A 21,653-nucleotide genomic window follows, 5' to 3' on the forward strand; every position below is an offset into this window, starting at 1 on the left:
TTGTAACCTTGCTATAACTGCTTATAGTCTAGGAGTTATTTTGTCAAATTTTTTGGACTTTCTACATAGATAATTATGTCATCTGTGAACAAAAAAGCATCTGTACACTTTTTATTCCCTTTCTTCTCTTACTCTATTAGTTAAGACTAATGTAAATAATGTTGTGTTTTAAATTTCAATTTCCAATTGTTCATTTTTGGTATACAGGAAAGCAGCCTACTCTGTCTTCTTGGTTAGCCTGGTTAAAATTTCATCAAATTTATTGACCTTTTTTTTTTTTTGAAGTCCCAGCTTTTGGTGTTGTTGATTTTCTCCACTGTTCTCCCATTTTCAATTTCACTGGTTTCTGATCTAATTTTCTTTAAACATTTTGTAGTGAGGGGGTTACTTCTCTTTTTAAAAATTTTTAAAATAAGTTTTAAATTGATACATAAGTGTCCATATTTATGGGGTACAGTATGTTTCAATACATATATAATTACTTTCAAACATAAGAAAAAGTAATGTGAAAACTAAAGTACACATATTTATTTTAAAACATTTGTCATATTTGCTAATAAATTGATAAGGAACAAAGAACGCCTGAATCTACTTAAAAGAACCTTAATCTCAAATGAAGTAAAATATATAAACAATCAGCAAAATTCTTATTAACTTGTAGAAATGTAATTTATTTCATGCAAAGCTACATTCTTTCCTATATTTTAACAGCTAATCAAATAAACATTTCAAAAAATTCATTACATCACAATAAGTTAAAATACTACAAAGGAACTGCAAGTCAATCAATTTATCAAAACCAAACTGAGCGAACACTATGCATAGATAAGGCCAAAGTTACTAATTTGCTTATAGGTAGCACTTTGCAGCTTTTTCCAAGTACATATTTGAAAATGTAGTGAGAATCTACAGAGAAAAAAAATAGTTTAATCTACAACCCAATGATCAGATAGTAAAACATTTGTCATTACATATCAGGTGGCAATGGCTAACTAAAGATAAACTTGGCATCATGCACCAAAAATGACCACAGTAACATTTTGAAAAATTATGATCATATGCACATTTGAAAAGATTAATTTTCTATTTCACCTAATCAACTGAATTGGATAAAGGCAAAATAACAAGTATTTTATTAATGCAATGCAGAAATTAGGTTTTTGGTATATTAATAATTTGCTTGTGTATTGGTATATATAAAAATCACTGACGGGATCTAGGAGTATTTCAAGCTCACACTGGACTACTGAACTTTAGAATACTGTCCTAAGGAAATAGGTCTGGGCAGAACTTATTTGAGATAGATTTTAAAACTATTTAAAAGCAATACTACAATTAGTTACTTACAAAAACATTTATAAAAATTAAATATCAGAAAGTGAGAACATCAATATTAGAGCTCTGTTGTATCATTCAATGTTATAATTTATAAATACATATTAATTTAAAACACAGGTCCACATATTTTCTACCTTCTAAAATAAGAAAAATCCTTCGAGTTGTTTTCAAAATATGAACAAAAACAAATCCATTGGATTGCTTTTAAAAAATATATACACAGTCTCTCCCCTACAACTTGGTATGCTAAGTACGGAAGATGCTTGCCAGCATTGTTGAGAAATGCAGTTCCAAATTAGTAGGCTAATAACATTTATGTCAATATCAACTCTAAATGGTGTTGTACAGTCAGTTTAAATAAATTATGATTTTACCCTACATATGTCTGCAATAGTAAATCATTCTTTCTACTCTTTTGAACTAAGTACAGTAAAATTCTTTCACAAAATAATCTGAGATCAAGATAACCAAAAAAGGAAATATTTTCAGTGAAAAAAAGTTAATTTTTCCCAAGGAGTGTGTAAAAAATAAATGTCTTTTAGGATATTGATGAGAAGAGGAACATGCCAATATCCTTGCTTTATTAACAGATTTAAAATTTACAGTGAGTCCTCAATTGACCTCAATGGACCAATGGCTTGGTACAGAAGGAATCAGAGGCGAGGACATGTTCCTGCTGCAGTGGGAAGTAAGACAGAGCAGGACTACGGCCTGCCCTACTGGAGGAAATTGCTCCTAGGGCCTTGTCTCCAGGAGTTGGGAAAGGGGAAAGAAAACATTGCCCAGTCTTCCAAGTCTCTGGGCAAAAAGTCACTGAGTTGGAAAGAAGTACCTCATACAGATGGGAATTCATATTTTAGAAGGCCTTCTGTAACCTTCTTATATTGTTTCAACGCTCCTAAGAAAAGTTTTGATGATGTATGTTATTAATTCCTTTTCATAAAAAGATGTCTCAAGAATCTAAATAAATCTTAAATTTTGGGGGGGAAATCTATTTTTATGTAAAAATATTACACTGAAAACAATTTATTTACTGATGTGTCCTCTTTAGTGACCTAAAAGATACACTGAGCCAGCATACTTTACATTTGTATTCAGATGTTGCTTAGTTGTCTAGCAAAATCTGTTTGACTACTTTAGGTACAATATTGCTATTTCAAGTAGTGGGATTTGTAGTCAGAACTAGTTCCTTCTGAGCGTACCACTCATCAAAAACAACTCTGTACACAAAACAGAAGGAAAATCTTTCAGCACATTAAAAGTCATGCTATAAACATAGGCCTCAGAAAGGAAGAAAGGTATAAAGGAATGAGAGAGGACATAAGAAAAGAAAGACAAAACCCTAAATCCACTTACTTCTTAACATTTAGAATTCAATACAATCCATTACATTTGATGATTCAAGTACGCTAAGATTTTTCAGGGACATATTTTGTCGCTTAGTGCAAATATACTTGTAATTTTTAGGCATAATCCACTCAAATCACAAGTAAGAAACTCACCTTACTAAACAGGTGAATTATAATATGGAGAGTTTATTTTTTCTCTAATATGGTAATCAGCACACCAGCAAGAACATTCCCTAAACCTATTAATAAGAATGAGGTTTGTAACTGAATGTAAATTAAATTGCTCCATTAATATGCTAAAATATACTTTTAAAAAACCACACACATTGACTTTCCTATGCTAATTTAATTTGGGCATACATGCAGCTTAAATTTCAGAACTGATCATCTAATCAAATAGTAGTCCAAAAAAATCAACTGGCAGAATGTTTTTTTGAATGTCTGGATTGTCAAATTTTCTGATCTATTCTTTATAAAGGGAAAACCCTTGAATCTTTTGATTTAGTTCTTACCATTTCTGTGAAATGAGGGCCTCTTATGCAATGAGATTATTCAAAAGCCCTTGTATTCATTTGGTAAGAGAGCAAATTTTAATAATTAAACTTATTCTTTCTTTTGTTTTTTACAAAAATGCTCTATTGATAACAAGTTATTTATGTTGTAAAAGAAGTTAATTAGTAATTTAGAGGTGATTCATTAAATTAATAGATTATTATTATTTTCTACAATAGTTATTCTGAATTACTGGCTTACTGAATATTCTTACCTAACAACTATTTAAAGAATAATTTGGAAAATTTTAAACTAATACTTATTATCAAGTAATAAAGTCATCAAAAATTACCAGAAATAATTCTTTAAGAAATGTACTTTGCATGTAAAGTATATGTATTTAGTAGTCCTATTTTGCAGTAGATGTCATTATATTTCAATAAGCTTCTCAAAAGAGAAAACTTCTACCCATTACAGTTTTTTACACAGGGTGGCTTGACAAATATTAACTTGGTTCCCCAGCAATAAACTGAGTCTTCCAGGGTCAAGTCATTGCCTTCTGAACTCAAATTTATCCAACAAAATAACATTTTTATATGATTGTATATAACATTCTGTAAGACAAATTCTGCTTAAAGTTGAATATTCTGAATCACTGAAACAACCAAATATTTTAAATATAACTTGAAAGTCATAAAGGAATCTATACCGGTTGTGAAGTGTATGCACGTATACACTTCAATTATTATAACCATAAAAAATTTAATACTAAAGGAAAGTGGTAACATTACCTTACACGTTCCTACCAATTTATCTTAGGGCATTATAAAAGTTAGTTATAAAAGTAATTGGCTAATTTCTTTTCCTTTTCTGCTTCTGTTTCAACAACAGCATCTTAATTTCATGACAAAACCTGATGAGAAACATTATACTTAAGAAATTATTCCAAAGTAAACCCAAAGACTAAATAAAACAACACTACTTTCACAGGACTTTTGATGAATTAGTCCAAAAGCGTTTTTGCTTTAAGTACTTGTAAACTTTTCTGTAATAATAAGAAACTGGACCCATTTCTGGGATGATCATTTCCCCATCCAATACCTTCAAGTATCACTAGGAAAAATAGCACAGTTATAAACTCCAGTACATAAACACCAATTCAACTTCCTCACAATGGCTTTGTAAGGTAGATCAGCAGGTAAATAGCAAGTATCATCTTCATTCTGCAAATGAAAGTGCAGAATGAAGCACTTGAGGCACTGAAGAGCTACATGATTTGCCAAAGGTATTCAATTAGTCAATCATTAAATTACAAAGAGGATCAAATTATCTCTGCTCCTGGCTTATTGCTTTCTGGCCACACTTCACATGAAAAGACTGTATGTGTGTGTTCTTAAGTGTAGTCTATATGACCTTCAATTCAGAGTAAGTCTATCCACTGATAATTATTTTAAAAGGGATCTAATTGCAAAGATCATAAAAACTCAAAGATCAAAATTTTCAGATAATGAGGATGATGCTCTATTCCTTTCAATATCTGCATAGAGCTGTGTTTTAAAAAAAAACTTACATGATAATATTTATTAAAAATAAAAATAAAAATTTTAAATTTATGTCTTGGGGAAAGATTAACTTCAAGTTAGGGGAACCATATAATTCATCTTCAAACTGGGTGGGATACTTGAGGGTGAAAGTAATCACTAGTAATAAACAGGATACTAGGTGTTACACTGAGACTGTATTAGGCAAGCTGAAGTATGGTCACCAAATGTAGCATGGATTCAGTAAGAGTTGCAAATATTCTAGGGACATAAGAAAACTCTCTGCAAGCATGCTGCAATCAAACATGTTCACTTTTCAATAAAACACTAGTGCTTTAAAATATAATACATAAATTTATCTTAAACACAAAGGTTAAAAACAGTCTATTTAGTAAGAATGTTTAACCAACAAGTTATTACACATTTCCATTCTAATATAGTTTTGTTTTCTATAAACCACGATTTAAGTATCAGTAATAACAGTAAATGGATTCACTTTTTACCTTTGAATAACCAGTTTTTTTCTCAAAAAGTATAAGCAGGTACCTTTAAATACTGAAGGATTTTGTTGGACTCTTTGACTACTTAAAAAAAAACTATTTTTCATTAATGCCTAGGATTTATCCTTGAATATCATAATCAACATTTAAATCAATATGTTAAATGATAAATGTGAACATAGCTTTCTGAAATGAAAATCTTTTATAAAGCAATACCAGAAGCATAAAAAAATCCAGTTACTACAAAGACTGAAGGAATACTATATCACCTGATTATAGTACACATGCTAAATACACAGACACGCATCACTTGAAGTATAATCTTAATCTTATACATGCAAAAATCCCCCACGAGTTTGCAAACAGATTTGAAAAAGCACTTTTTACATTCAGTTATGTCTAGTAAGTAAGCCTTGTTTTAAGACACGAGTTTTATGAATACAGTTATTATTTGAGGTCTCCATTCACTTACATTTCTTTGGGAAATACAGGTTGAATATACTTTTTAGAAGTAACAAAAATGTAAGTCACAATAACAAAACTGTATATAATATTATTTAGTATGACTTATGGCTTCCTTGAATCTTTAAAATAACTCTCTTGAAAAAAAATTAATCTGAAACAAACTGAACTGCATGTTCTTAACATATGTTGATCTTTCTTAAAGTCCTTCCACTGTAACTGTATTTCTAAGGCAGATGCTTAGGAAATGATATGTAATAAATCTTGTTGAAAAAGGTGATACTCTATTCAATGCACATTAAACTATTATTCCTAAGATATAATTAATTCTCAGTGCCTTTTTTGTTATCTTGACACTTTTCACTGTGTATAGAGGAAATTCTAGGGTACACAGATGTTCATCAAGACTGAACTGATGTGTTGACCTTGGTTAGTGGTCCCACAAACTTTTTCAGACTTTAAACATCATTAAATATGTCACTGCGAGACATCGAGAGATATCGTCCACCAGGCTGATACCTAAAAAGGGAACATAAAGAAATGATCTGAGGCATCAAAAATAATAAAGGAAGAGAGGAAAACAAGAATACATTAAAAGGGAGTGGCCATATAATTTGTAAGTACTGTAAAATCTAGTCAGTAGCTGAAAGCAGAAACTTACCCTCCAAGTATATTATCCAAAAGGACTTAATTATAAATCAACCAGCAACGGTTTTAGACCCTAGAATATATGCATGACAGAGTGAGAGATGTAAAAAGAAGGGGGCAGGGGATGTAAGACACATCTGGGAGATTAATCAATTCAATAACCACTCTCAATTGTTGCAAATAAATATAACCTAGGTTTTTACTGCATATAGGCAATACTATAGTAAACATTTTCGTGCACATGATATTTTGCTTTTATTTAATTATGTGCTTATAGCATAATGGCTAAAAGTACAGACTCTGTAGCCAGAATACTGGACTTTGAATGCCTGACTTGCCATTTACAAGTTGTGTGACTCTGGGCACTTTACTGAGCCTCTCTGGATTTAAATCCAGCTGAATTTGCAACCATACAATTACAATATTTTTGCTAAAGGACTTAGAATAGTGTCTGGCATCTAGACACTGCTATGCAGCAGTTACTAAATATAATAAATTTCACAAATGGGACAATCAGAAATAGGCATATAAATATTGTTGTGATCCTTTGCTATATATTTCAATTATTCTTTCTTATTTATAATACCACTAGTATTGTATGAAGATAACAATTTTAGTTACCATTACTGGATGATATAAAAGCATTAGAAAGTCTAAAAAGGTATCAAAAGTTACTTAATATATTTTTTATTGTTAGTGAAAATGAACATTTTCCTTTACTTATCACTTGTTTACTTTCACCTTTACTTACTTATTTTCAATCTTGTCAAGTCAATGTGTTATTAAAAGTGTAGAGGAATGCTAGAGCTAAAATGTCACAGCCAGAACTTACCTTCCTGATTCAGATTCAAGAGGATCATCAGTGAATGTTTCTGCATTAAAATCCAAAGGTTCTGCATCTTGGAGAAGTTCTATCCGGTCCCTTTCAGTCCTGTTATTAGCCCTGGTATATTTGAATGCAGCTGCAAAGGAAGGGGGAAAAATGTCTACTTCCCTACTGTCTTTTAACTTATGGGTCACAGTCTATGGAGGTACAGAAAGAAAAATCAAAATTCCAAGGAATCTGAAGACAAAGAACATAAGAAAAGATAACTACATGGTTCCTTAAAATCAGATTAAAATTATAAGCAGTATAATAGAATATAGCAAGGAAAAGTTCTCTAGGCTTGTAGTTAGCTAAGAAGCTCTCTAAGCTCAGAAGCAGACACAGTGCAAACATTTCATTAGTGTAACTCAGAATTAACATTTAACTATGGTATCACAATGGTGAAACTGTTTATTAACAAAAGTAGTTTGAGTTGGTTTTACAGTAAACCTCATTTCTTGGCTAGGACTTTAATGTGTAATCAGCTCAAACTCTTAAAAAAAGGTGTGTCTTTTTACCATAAGGCAAGAGTATGGGTAGCACTAGCCAACATCGGCACTAGCCGATATTTAATTAGAAATTTTCTAGTAGCTATATTAAAAAGTAAAAAGAAACAAGTGAAATTAATTTTAATATATTTAAACACAATATATCCAAAATATTACCATTTCAACATGTTGCAAGTGCTCAATAGCCACGTGTGGCTAATGATTATCATACCAGACAGCAGATAAAGAAAACTAACTCTCCCTTCTCTATGTGGATAGGGATTTCTATATAAACAAACCAAATTTTCACAATGTTGTTCAGAGGAGTCCAAGTAGATTTACAACAGCTTTATGCTATAGTTCTTTCTGAAAACTTAATGCAAGCCAATTCTATCATATTTACATTTTTGTAAGCTTGGACTCTGTCCCAAATGCAAATCTCTTCATCTTTTCTCTCACTCATTCAGCAAATCGCAATTGCCCAATACATGCTAGATTCTCTCTAATTCATCATCCTATGACTTTGTGACTCCTCTTCTTTTAAGCACTCTCCCGTCTTGCCAGGTCTTTCTATTCTGTAAACTTCTTCCACTCTATGGTAAGCAAGCATCCAAATCCCTTTACAGAATCCTATTTCCTAGTTTTAACTAAGCCTTTAGCCCTTTCCTATTTATTATACCCTAAAGTCCTTCAAATAAATCCTTTTCTCTTCATCTCCAGGACAACTGCCTTATTTTAGACCATAATCATTTCTTGACTGTATTACCAAACAGTCTCTGAAATGGTTTCTAGTCTCACTTCCCCAAGAATTATGCTTTATACTGCCATCAAATTCATCTTTCTAAACCAAAAATCTTATCATGCTTCTTCCCAGATTGAAATCTTACCTTTAGGTCAAAATCCCAACTTTTTTTTCTTTCGTTTTTTTTTTTTTTTTTTTTGATGGAGTCTTGCTCTGTTGCCCAGGCTGGAGTGCAGTGACATGATCTCGGCTCACTACAACCTCCTCCTCCTGAGTTCAAGTAATTCTCCCATTTCAGCCTCCTGAGTAGCTGGGATTACAGGTGCATACCACCATGCCCAGCTACTTTTTGTATTTTTAGTAGAGATGGCGTTTCACCATGTTGGCCAGGCTGGTCTCGAACTCCTAACCTTAGGTGATCCACCCACCTCAGCTTCACAGGCATAAGCCACCGCGCCTGGCCCCAAATCCAAACATTGGAGAATGACAATATCTGTTCCCCAACTACTCTGTGGCCTCCTCTCTTATTAGCCTCCCCATGCTTAGGCTTTAGTTAGAGAAAAACATGCATTTTCCCAAAGGTTCTCTCATGCCACAACGTCCTGCACTTAGTCTCCCTTCTAATTAAAATACCCTTCACCTGGCTAGGTACTATTCCTTCTTAAATACTCAGCTAAACATGTCCTTATTACAGAAATATTTCTTCATTATAAAAACTCTTTCCTAAGATAAGCCCTCTTTTTCAATCCCCAAGCTGAATTCCTTCTGCATCTGGTGTGCATCCTTCTATCAGAGCTGTCATGAGAAATCTACAATATCATACATAGTCTGTAATTAAAATATTTTTAACATTTCTATTTAGCTCTTTTGTATAGTTTCCATCTCTCTGGTGAAATTCCCCCCTATCTGTTCATGCACATTGTCCAACCTTTCCATCAGATCATTTAACATATCAATTGGTTATTTCAAAGTCACTGCACTGTCTGATAATTTCAACATTTGAGCCACCTCTGGGTCTGGTTATGTTCACTATTTTATGTTTTGAAAATGGCTCATATTATCTTACTTTCTTGTATATCTCATAATTTTGGGTTAAAAGCTAGACATTATGTGTAAAAGAAGGAAAAGATGGAGAGAAATCATAGTTTTATGCCCAGAATGGGCACACCTCTTCTATTAGATCATCATTGCTGATGGCTTGAATCACTCAACCTATAGTTGATCTGAGTTTGGATTTGGTTGTTGCTTTAGTTTCCTTAAGTCCCCAAAGACTTCACATTTCTCTAGTAATGAAATCCTATGACCTTGTACTTAGTAGGGCCTCAAGTGTCAGATGGTTTCTCTCAGTATTCTTTTTCCACTCTCAGATTTCAGTAGTCCCTGCATGGATATGGATATGCCACAGAGGGAGTCTTCTCCATGTTTCTATTCCTCCTCCAACAATTGACTACTATGGCTTGGTGCTCAGTGCAAAACTTGTAGCTGAGTGGGTGAGAGTGCTCAGTTTTTCTCCTCCATCCTCAGTCTTAAACCCTGTGTACTGAAGCCTCAGTGGTGGAGCTTTTCAGCAATCTTGCATCTCTCCCAAAAACAGCCTCTTCCTTCTACTCAGTTCAAGGTCCTAGGCAAAAACTGGTTTCTTGGCACCTCCTAAATAGCTTCTGCATCATGTCAGTGTGGGGTCAGTGATACAAAGTTTCCTAACCCACCCTGGTAGCAGATGGCTTCTGTCTGGTATCAGTCCCTCACTCAATTATGAGCATCCTGAGGACAAGAAATATACCTTCTTTGTATTGCTGTATACCTGGGAATATGCCTAACTTATATGGGTCAGTCAATAAATTATTATAAAAATGACCAAATAACCTACACCTACTAATAGGAAAGAAAAACATCAAGGTAAGTTGTAGAAATAAACACCTGCCTAGAACATACCTGGGATAAGTGCTTACATTATTTAGGGTTAGTATACTTAGAACTATTCATTTGATGCCCCAGTTTCTCCTTTCCCTACCACAGTACATATTTGAGCTTCCCCATCCTTCTATATACTGAGGAATGCAGAAAAAAAAGAAGTCACTGCAAATATACCATTTATAATTCTACAAAGGCATTTCTGGATGTGTGTATTCTAACACTCAATCTCTATGCAAGAAAGCATAAGAAAACAATTTCCAAGTGAACTAGAAGATAAACTACTTACAACGGTTGGTATTAACATCTGAGAAGTTTGACTCTTTGGGGTCAGTATGAATATTTCTGTTCCTAGTGGAATCTTCTCTATTGTGTCCATAACGTTCTTTCCATTCCTAGAAAAGAAGCACAAATAATCATATAATAGAACAGAAAATAATTCATTAATGTCAAGAGATTACATATGCAATATAATTTATTTTCATCAGAGATTCATTAGTAATCAATATAATTATCCTAGTATCTTTAAAAATCATAGGTCAATGTTTTTATTTTTACATGATTTATTGAAGTCACAGTCTCTATAAACTTCAACTTTTACAAATGACATAGAGATATTTTTGCTAACTTTGGTTGTTACTCATCTATCTAAATTGTAAAACAATATTACTACAAGCTTACTTTGACCATGTAAAAGTTAAGAGAACCCATAATGACTAACAGACGTTAACAAGATTTTCTTTCACTCAAATAAACTACAAATATTAGAGAGCCAAAAAGTCAACAGTTAAAGTTGTATACAAACATAATTAGCCTATGACTCACACGGCATTGTGTGTTATCTTAAATGCAGTCAAACCATATTAACTGGATTCTACTCATTAAATTCTTAGAATTGAAAGGGACATTAGAAGTCACCTAATGCAACTTTCCATGCAGTGCAGGGTCTCATTCTAAAACATCCTTGCCAGATGCTTTTTGGCTCTCTGACTAGATAGCATGTAATTTCCTATGTCCGAGAAGCCTATTGCAATTCTGGTAAATTGTGTAATTTAGAAATTCCCATAGAGAAGAGAAATCTATCTCTAGTAACTTCTACTCTTTGGTTCTAGTTCTGCATTCTAAAATAAAGAAGATACACATATATGAAGATACACAAAGACAACTATTAAGTTTCCTGTTAGTTTTTACTTTGCCAGTATATACACCCATTTGTTAAAAAAATGTGTGGTAATTATAATTAGATTTTACTCATTTTTTGCCTTTTCATTTTCTTCAGGAGGGTAGTTTGCCTCAGAAAATGGAGGCTTAAAGAAAAATTAAGGAGGAATAAAATTAATGTCACAGCACCAAAAAAAGAGAAACAATTTTAAAGCAATCAAAACCACTTTAATAGCAAGAATACACAAATTTATGTATTTATTCATTCGACAAATATTCATGGAGCACCTACTTTAGCAAGAAGCTGCTCGATGCTAAACACAAAGAAATTTATTACTAATGACTTTTAGAACAGGTCTGTCAGGATACTTAGCGTATATACCTGAAAGTATTAAAATTCCCTTTCTTTAAAAATATATCTTATAACATTTTTCCACTGTTTTTTTCTGTCTTTAGCTAATTATTCCAAATTAGTAAGATTCTTAAGAAATTAAATTTCAAATTAATCTTCAGATTACAGAAATTAATACTGTACTTACTCTTCTTCGATTTTCACCTTCTTCTTGCCTTTGCCTTTTTCTCTTCTCTAAAGACAGAAAAATGATCTCAAATATGGCATAACATGGTTTAATCAGACATAGTGCAACTGAAGTAAAGATAGCGGGCAATGACCAGTATTTCTTTTAAATTATCACAAAATCAAATGTTATAGGTTATTGCTGGAAGGAATTTGAGAGGTTACCTTACTCAGTAGTGAATGCCTTCTCTATTTTTGTTGCAGATGGCCCTGTAGTCTCCGCTTAAATAACTTTAGGGAAGAAAGATTTCTTTCTCACAATGACCTGAAATTTGTTTCTCTGTAAATTCTATTCTTTTATTCCTGTCTTCTAAGTTAAGTTCATACTTCTTTTCTTTCTGTATGAGTCGCTTTCCTTGTTACTCTCTTTAGGTTACAGACAAGATGTTTTCACTTTTTTTCCCCCAGGATATGCCCTACAGACTCACAATTCTAGCTGTCCTTCTCTAAATACCTTCTAATTTATCAGTCTTATTCTTAAAAATCTTACCCAGGACTGGATGTGCTATGCCATATGAGGTCTAATAGGAGAGCACGTGAAGGCTACACTGGCTTATTTTGGAGCTGCAATACATTTTGTCTTACATTCAACTCATAATTACACAAAAGCCCCAGACTCAAGTAGGGAGAATGTCTAAGAACCAATGTCCCAAAAGTCAAGTTTTTTTCCCTCCATGCTATCATCACTTTGAACATCAGTAAATTTAATACACTCAGTTTTGTGATTTGATTCTACTAGAGTACCATGTATTCTAACAGGCTGTTAATGATCACGTTCTAAAAAAGTAGCCTTTGTTTGAATGATTTCCCATGCAGTATCAAACCGATGATTCTTTAAATTAATGAGTTTTATAGTTGTACAGAGCTTCGCAAATATGTTTCAAGGTAAACATGAAAATGATTCCAAGACCATACAAGGGTGTTATCTCGCTGCAGACATACTAATAATTTAAGCTTCAGAATTTCTTAAAGACCGATAAAACAATTATTCATGTTTTCAAATTATTTTTGCTAGAAAGGCCATTGTACATTTTTAGCTAAAAATGTGCATTAATTCATAATTTCTTAGAATAGATTAAAAAATATTCACAAACTACACAAATATTAATTTTGTATTTTGAGTCTTAGCACTTAGTATTTTCCCTTCATTTATTTTAAAAGACAAATCTTACCTTTTCTGATTAATTCTTTTCCTTCATTAACTAAGTCTGATGTCATATCATCATCTCCCATAAACTGCTGGAAACCGAGCAGATTCAAACAACGGGTTCCCAAACTAATAAAAGCAGATTTTTTAAAAAGACAAACATTATTTCACATTGTAAATATTTAGATGAATTGTTCTTTAGCATTGTCACTCCAAAAGAAGACTATGCTTCATTATCTGTTATCATATAGTTATCTACTGTCACATCTGACATGCTTCAGGAAGTACCACTTATCTCCCTTTCTAAGAAGTGTATGCCCTGTACTTCACTGATTAGGGTATGCACTATATTCAGGTTTCTTATAGATGTCAGTTAAGTCAAGTTATCAGCATACCTTCAGAAAACAATTATACCAAGATGCTAAAATGATAACTGTAATAATGTAAGAGCAATTTTTTTCCTCTGATCTAGTTAACTATTTAAATAGCTTTTATACACTACAAATTGATTACTATATCTTATCTGAAGACTACTACCTTATATCTTATTTGCTATTTACTTTAAATTTGATTGTTGTACAAGACAAGAATACTGAAAATATGGAACACAAGGAAGGAAATGATAGGTGAATAAGCAGGATTAATATTTCTTAAGATCCAACTATACATCAGATAATTTACAGATGCCTTCTTATTTAATTTTAACTATCACTCTAAGAGATAAATATCACTTTACAGATAAGAAAACAGGCCTAAGGGGTTAAATACTTTGCTAAAGATCCCTTAATAAATGACAGACCTAGAATTTAAATCCCAGAGAAAATAAAAACCAAGCAGCTCTTTTTATTATATTAGTTCTCAAACTTTTTCAATGATGTACTTCTACACAGAGAGGGAGGAAGAGGAGGAGAAAGTGGTGAAGGAGAGAGAGAGAGAGAGAGACGAAGGGAAAACAGGAAAGCAATTTAGAAAAAGTGAAGATCTCCATTCCATTTTGCAGTAAAAATGTGTAAATATCTAGCTAATCCATAATATATCTACTTGTTTCATTCATATAAAAATGTTTTTTATGCATTACCATTGGGTAAAATTGGGGTTTTGTAGATGATCATGTTAATTCTCTGACTTCAAACATTTCCTTACCATCTTCATATCCTTATGGGAGTACTATACTCCGGGATGAGAAGCTCAGAATTAGATCACTGTCTCTGGGAAAGTTTTCTCTTTGTCTGAAGTATCAGGAAACAACTTATGCTCTCTAGGCAGGTAGGTCTGAATATTAACTCTGGGTGTGGCTGTGTTGCTAATAGTGTGGGAATTAGACTAATTATGGCAGCATTTCAAATGAAAATGAACTTATCAAGTTAACCTATCATTGAAATGTCAGTAAGGCATTGCTTCAGGTGTTTCTATAACAGAAGATCTATTTTGTGAGTTAATCCGAAAATTAAGGAATACAACCTTTTTTTTCCCTTAAAGATAAAATGGCACTCAAAGTTTATCCTGATTAACTCTAGAAAGACACTTTTAATGATTATCTTAACAATTTTGCTTTCGGACATAGTGATTCCTTATAGCTAAGATTTTATAGTTGACAGAGCACTATTCTGCCCCATATCACTTGATCTATATAACCATCTAATAAGGTAAGAAGAAATGCTAATCTTGCCAGCATAACTGTAACATTAAAAAAATTTATACAAGTTCTTAATGTTCCACTTTATTAACTTTTCAAATGATTAAGCACATAATAAAAACATAGTTTTAGGCACACAAAGTATGACTAGTCTCTTCTTTTAATACATCATTTTCACACTGTAGATCTGTTACTGTCTCCACCTAAAGAAAACACTAAAAATATCAGATTTGCTATCAGTTCATATTAAAAGTATTATTTTAAGGGAGGAGAACACCCCTCATATTGTCTTATGCCCTATTTCTGCCTCCAAAGAAAGAAGTAAAAACTAAAAGGCAGAAATGGAATCCACAGGCAGATAACCCAGCACCGCGCCCTGGGCCTGGTAGTTAAAAATCAACCCCTGACCTAACTGCTTGTGTTATCTATAAATTTCAGACATTGTATGGAAAAGCATCGTGAAAATCCCTGTCCTGTTCTGTTCCGATCTAATTACCGGTGCATACAGCCCCCAGTCACGTACCCCCTGCTTGCTCAATCTATCAAGACCCTCTCACGAGGACCCCCTTAGAGTTGTAAGCCCTTAAAAGGGACAGGAATTGCTCACTCGGGGATCTCGGTTTTTGGACATGTGAGTCCGCTGATGCTCCCAGCTGAATAAAGCCCTTTCCTTCTACAACTCGGTGTCTGAGGGGTTCTTGTCTGCGGCTCATCCTGCTACAATTTGAAGTTATAATCTTTTAGTTATTTTACTTATAAGAAAGTAAAATATATTTTCAAAAATTCAATAGAAAATGTATTTTAAACAATATCTGTTTACTCATTACTGTAATGTTAGTAGATATTATCTGTAACAACTATAAAATGGTATTGGAAGATTTAAATAAAGTGGGTAGATAAAATTTATTTTTCTCAGAAGAGTAAGCAATGAACATTTTTAAGTATTTTTGAAAAAGTGGTATTTTGGGTATGTTATGGAGCACTTCAGCAATGAAAGAGGGCAGAGTACAGGATGAGGAGGCCTGACATGTAAAAAGAAGGAAAGACAGATGCGAGAAGCCAAGTACACCTATCCTTTAATCCCTTTTGAATCTCACTCCTGCCTAGATTCTACCATTCATTCTAATTCCATGAAAACAGCATGCCATGTACTTTATGACACAGGAGAAAATTTCTCCTCTAATCTTAATGTACAGCTTGATTACAATCGGTCCTCACCTGACCCTTTGTGCTGGCCATGGTCTGAAGCATTTAGACACCCAGCAATAATTATTGGAAAGCTCTAAGGCTAATTTATGTCATTAGAAAAAAGCTGGACATAAGGGTGTTTTGCAGGCTACGATAGCTGTCAGTGTCAAAGGCCAGGACTTAGAGTTAACATTCTGTAATTAATCCTATCATTTTTTAGCCTAAATAGAATAATGTTAAAATAGTATTATTTATTATAATAGAATAATAACTCTACCTCTTTTTTCTTTAAATTTTTTAGAGGGAGACTCGCACCTGATCACTCAAGTAGTCCCTTCAAACTATCCCCAGCTTCTCCAAAGCTACAATGAAACAAACTGAAACTCAATCAGTAAATATTTAAAAGAGCTTTAAAGAGAAAGGATATCCAGATTTAAGAGCAAAAGAAAAAACAATGTTAAGTTTCTTACCTAAAATAAGTAGCAATGCAGAGAATTACCACCAACATAGGATAATATATATAGAATCCATCTGCAATAAAGGATAAAACTTTCATGGAACCCATAATCTGAAGAGCAAGAAAAAAGTAAGTTAAATTGGAATAGCTCTATAATTTCCATTCCTTTCCATCATTAGAAAATTTGCCTATAACCAGTTATATCAATCCATTTGAACTTTTTAAAAAGTAGAAAAAAAGCAGTAAATGGACTTATTTTTTAAAATCTGCTTTTTATTGAGGTTTTCTCTTAAAGAAAATTAATATAATTATTACTCAAAATTATCACATACATTGACTACAAATATAAAGTTAATATTAGTATAGGTCAGTTCTTTTGATACTGGTCAGCTAGACAACATATATGAACCAAAAAAAACATTTTTATCATAAAAGAAGGAAAATCACTTTTATCTAGTCAATAGTAATACGTATACAATCTTTAAGAGAAAATTTTACCAATAACACTATAGAACTTTTCTGCTGGCATTAAAAGAAATTTCACAATAACAGCACCTCATATAGATAGTGAACCTAAGGAATTCTATTTTCTGACCGTACTTACAGATGTATAAGCAGTTGGTTGAGTATTCTTGTGAGAGATAGATGAATCCATATGGGTCAAACCCAAGAAATTAAGACATAAAGGAGGTGTCAAACGGCAAAATAGCCTGCAACAAACATTTAAAAATATGTATATAAAAAGTAAAGCAGCAAAATACATTTTATAGTATACTGAGATGTATTAAAAACATTTCAGATAATTATAGCTAAAATTTTCATCTATTTGCTTTATATATATATTGAATTCTTAATGTGACCTGCCCTCACTTACTTGGGAGATATTCTGAAAATTGCCACATCAATGCCTACGTGACTACAGCCTCAAGCTCCTTGCTTTTATGGTTTCTGCCATTGCTTTATCCCCACAAGTTGTGGAGTGCCTTTGTATCATCTCCTACAACTAAGCCATCCGTAAAATCCATCTCACAGCATGACAAGGACAGTAACATCCTCAAGGTGAATTGTATTCAGTACATAAAAGAACTGAAGTTGTATCAACATATGTCATTCTGACAAGCACAGATATAAAGTTGTTCAATTCTGTCCAAATAAAAAGAATGCCTTACAAACCCACACACTTGGATAATTGGGGCTGGGGAGAATAAAGTGTGGGTATGAATTAAAAAAAAATAATATGAGATAATTCTTTTGTGGTGATAGAACTGTTCTGAATCCTGATTGTGTTGGTGGCTACAGGAATCTACACACACACACACACACACGAATGAAGGATAAAAAATGGTGAGAACTAAATAAAGTCTGTAGTTTGTAGTTAATAGTAATGTTTTACTCTCATTTCCTGGTTTTGATATCACTGGGGGTAGCGTGAAGGTTACATAGGACTTTTTGTGCTACATTTGCAACTTCCCATGAGTCCATAATTATTTGGAAAACAACAAAAAAGATGCTTAAAAATACTTTGGATGTCAACTCCTCTATAAAATTATCTAAGTTCATCCTTTATAAATACCTAATAGGACTCATTTAACAATAAGAACAGGTAATAGATTGTACAATCTTGCCCAACTTGAAGACATCTCTCTAAATCCTCTCTGAATTCCTCAGGAAAAATTGTTCTTGTTGGTTTTCTCAGTCCTCCTCAACTCAGTGAGAGACCGCTGAATCTTAGAACACCATCTAGGTCTGACTTAGTCTCTAAACTGTCCATTGTTTCTACTGCTTGCTAATCTCTGGTTGGTAAATCCGGGCTCACTAAGTATGCTTCTTCTGCCTTCTAGCCTAACCTAGCACACCTATTTTAACCTTAAACCTCAAGCAGGAAGTAGCTGGCAATCAACAAACATCAATTTAATATTTGAAACTAATCAATTAGCTGATAGAAATATAGATGTTAGTGGAACACCTGTAAACAACAAAAAATAAAAGATCCATAAGAATACACTCAATGATGACATTTCTCTTGTTTCTAAACATAATCCTACTTACATGCCACTGAAAAGAAGGCTATAAGCATCAGTCTGGTGATGTGAGGCCAAATAATAATAGTTAAATACACGAATCCTGAACACAGTAGAATAAACACAGATACTTAGGAAGAAGATGGAAAGGAAGCAGGCAATCTGGAAAAAAACAAAAACAAAGCAGTTTGTTTAAAACAAACAGACTTTAGCACTTAACAATTACAGGCATTATCCTTCATTTCTTTTTCTTTTGTTTTTTTGAGATGGAGTCTCGCCCTGTCACCCAGGCTGGAGTGCAGTGGCGCGATCTTGGCTCACTGCAACCTCCACCTCCTGGGTTCAAGTGATTCTCCTGCCTCAGCCAACTGAGTAGCTGGGATTACAGGCATGTGCCACCACGCCCGGCTAATTTTTGTATTTTTAGTAAGATGGGGTTTCACCATGTTTGCCAGGCTGGTCTCAAACTCCTGATCTCATGATCCATTCGCCTTCGCCTCCCAAAGAGCTGGGATTACAGGTGTGAGCCACCACGCCCAGCCTGGCCTTCATTTCTAGCTAACATTTATTGATGCTCTAAAATTGAAATACAGTAATAGAGAATTTTTTAATCACCCACTAAGATTATGAAAAAAACCCAACACTTCAAACTGTTTAACATCCTAGATCCAAAAGTTTCGAATCTACCTTCTAATGTGAGCCTGTTTTCCCATTCCCTTGGCAACTCTTCACATGAGGCCTATAAGTTATGTAGCTTTACTGGCATAAATATAATCAAAGTATTCCCAGGGCCAAGTGTGATGGATCCTCCTGAAGCAGGACGATCACTTGAGTGCAAGAGTTCCAGACCAGCCTGGGCAACATGGCAAAATCCTGACTCTACAAAAAATACAAAAATTAGCAGGGGATGGTGGTGCATGGCTGTAGGCCCAGCTACTTGGGAGGCTAAGGTGAAGGTGAGAGGATTTCTTGAGCCCGGGAAGTTGAGGCTGCAGTGAGCCATGTTCATGCCACCACACTCCAGCCTGGGTGACAGAGCAAGATTCTGCCTCCAAAAAAAACAGAAAGAAAAAAAAAATCTCAGATTTCTGCACTATCTTGCAACTTTTCATCTCTCCTCAAATACAGTTATTAATTTCTATAGTGTGGGTAAAATAATGAAGCACATTTCTGGAAGTTTGAATAACAACACTGCAGAAAACCTCACTGCTTTCATTTTTACTAGAAGAAATACATGGAGAAAATAGTTAAGGATTATACTATGAAGTGACATCTATTTATGACAGACATAAAATAAACTGACCTCGATATAAATATAATTATATGTTTTTTCTGCCAGCTGTATGAAGACCGCAAAGAGGGATAAGACAGGAGTAGTGCTAAAGAATGTGCACTCTGACCACACAACAATCACAGAGAAGATGGACAGAACCACAGCAAGTATCTTGTAAAACCATGGTCGCAAAAGACATTCCCAGTACCATTCTAGAAGACAAAAGAAAAAAATGATTAGGAAAACTACAAAAGAGTAATGGGATATTTACATTGTTTCAAAATAGCTCCTAATAAGATACTTAATTACAAAGAGAAAAACAGCAATTTTACAGTGGAGAATCCAGGCAGATACGAACCTAACCAAATGACACCCATGATGGGACAAACTGACATCATGTGCCTCCTGCTATGATGTACTGATAGGAATGTGACATTGCTGCTGTGGTAGTCCTGTGAAAAATGCAGAACTTGCGTCTAATTTTAAAGAAACATCAAAGTCAAATTCAGGGACATTCAACAAAAAACTGGCCTATACTCCCCAAAACATTTCTGATATATCATAAAACACAAAGACTGAGAAACTGTGTCAGATTAGAGGAAACTAAGGAGACACAACAACTGAATGCGATGCATGATCTGGGATTTTTTACAAAAAATATTATTGGGATAATTATAGCAAAATCTGAATAAGGTCTGTAAATAATGGTAGAGTATAAATATTAATTTTTTTATTTTGATGGCTGTATTTGGCTATGTAAGAAAATATCTTTATTTTTAGAAAATATACACGGAAACATTTAGGAACAAGGAGGCATCATGTCTGGATACAACTCTAAAATAGTAATAAAAAAATACATACAGAAAAAGCAAATCAATATGGCAAAATATTAACATTGGAGAGCCTGGTTGAAGGGTATATGGGAATATTTTGTACTGTTTTGGTTTTTTGTTTTTTTTTTTTTGAGATGGAGTCTCGCTCTGTCGCCCAGGCTGGAGTGCAGTGGCATGATCTCGGCTCACTGCAACCTCTGCCTCCGGGGTTTAAGTGATTCTCCTGCCTCAGCCTCCCAAGTAACTGGAATTACAGGCGTGTGCCACCACTCCCATCTAATTTTCTGTATTTTTATTAGACACGTGCCACCATGCCCAGCTAATTTTTTGTATTTTTAGTAGAGACAGGGTTTCACCGTGTTAGCCAGGATGGTCTCAATCTCCTGACCCCATGATCCACCCACCTCGGCCTCACAAAGTGTTGGGGTTACAGGTGTGAGGCACCACTCCCAGCACTATTTTGGTTTTAAGTCTGAATTTAGGTATAAATAAAAATTTAAAAAAGAAAGCTCAATAAATTAAAAAGCTATATTTTTAGTTCATTTACTGAATAGTTAGCTTCTGGTTCACTGTAATTCTTTACAACTTTCCTCTCATAATTCCTAGTGATTTCAATATCCACATAAATGATTCCCCTTTCAATACCCTTATCTCTCATTTCTTTGACCTCCTCTCCTCTAATGAACTTTCCCTCCACCCTACCTCAATTACTTGTTGCTATAGTGATGCCTAAACCTTTTATTATCAATATCTCCAGCCCTTCCATATAATCACATTCCAGCATCCTTGTCTTCAAACAATACCTTCATCTAGTACAGTATTTCAACTCCACTAACTGACCATACCTGGATGAAAAATCAATTTATTCTATCACATTTTACCGTTATTTAACACTTTGATACCCTTCCTTCCTCATGCAGCTCAGATTCCAGTCTTTGAGGACAGTATCCCACTTACTTTGCCCCATTTTGCTCCACTGTACCTGCTAAGCTAAATCACACCTGTTTAAATCCAACTCGCT

At 33.7% G+C, this 21,653-nt stretch overlaps 1 protein-coding gene across 3 annotated transcripts in view; it reads right to left on the reverse strand.

Moving 5' to 3' along the window:
• Positions 1 to 501: 501 nt before the first annotated feature.
• LMBRD2 (LMBR1 domain containing 2) overlaps positions 502 to 21,653 on the reverse strand; it is a 53,481-nt gene continuing 32,329 nt past the window's right edge. For all 3 annotated transcript variants that reach the window (NM_001007527.2, XM_011514162.3, XM_047417877.1), the window contains 9 exons: positions 19,830 to 20,011; positions 18,555 to 18,688; positions 17,110 to 17,215; positions 16,519 to 16,616; positions 13,250 to 13,353; positions 12,040 to 12,086; positions 10,629 to 10,734; positions 7,163 to 7,292; positions 502 to 6,201 (listed from right to left, as the gene is read on the reverse strand). In NM_001007527.2, coding sequence (NP_001007528.1) covers positions 6,141 to 6,201; positions 7,163 to 7,292; positions 10,629 to 10,734; positions 12,040 to 12,086; positions 13,250 to 13,353; positions 16,519 to 16,616; positions 17,110 to 17,215; positions 18,555 to 18,688; positions 19,830 to 20,011 — 968 coding nt within the window. In that variant the 3' untranslated portion in view covers positions 502 to 6,140. The remainder of the gene's footprint in view (positions 6,202 to 7,162; positions 7,293 to 10,628; positions 10,735 to 12,039; positions 12,087 to 13,249; positions 13,354 to 16,518; positions 16,617 to 17,109; positions 17,216 to 18,554; positions 18,689 to 19,829; positions 20,012 to 21,653) is intronic.

Source organism: Homo sapiens, chromosome 5, assembly GCF_000001405.40.
Source record: "Homo sapiens chromosome 5, GRCh38.p14 Primary Assembly".
Classification (NCBI taxonomy): Eukaryota; Metazoa; Chordata; class Mammalia; order Primates; family Hominidae; genus Homo; species Homo sapiens.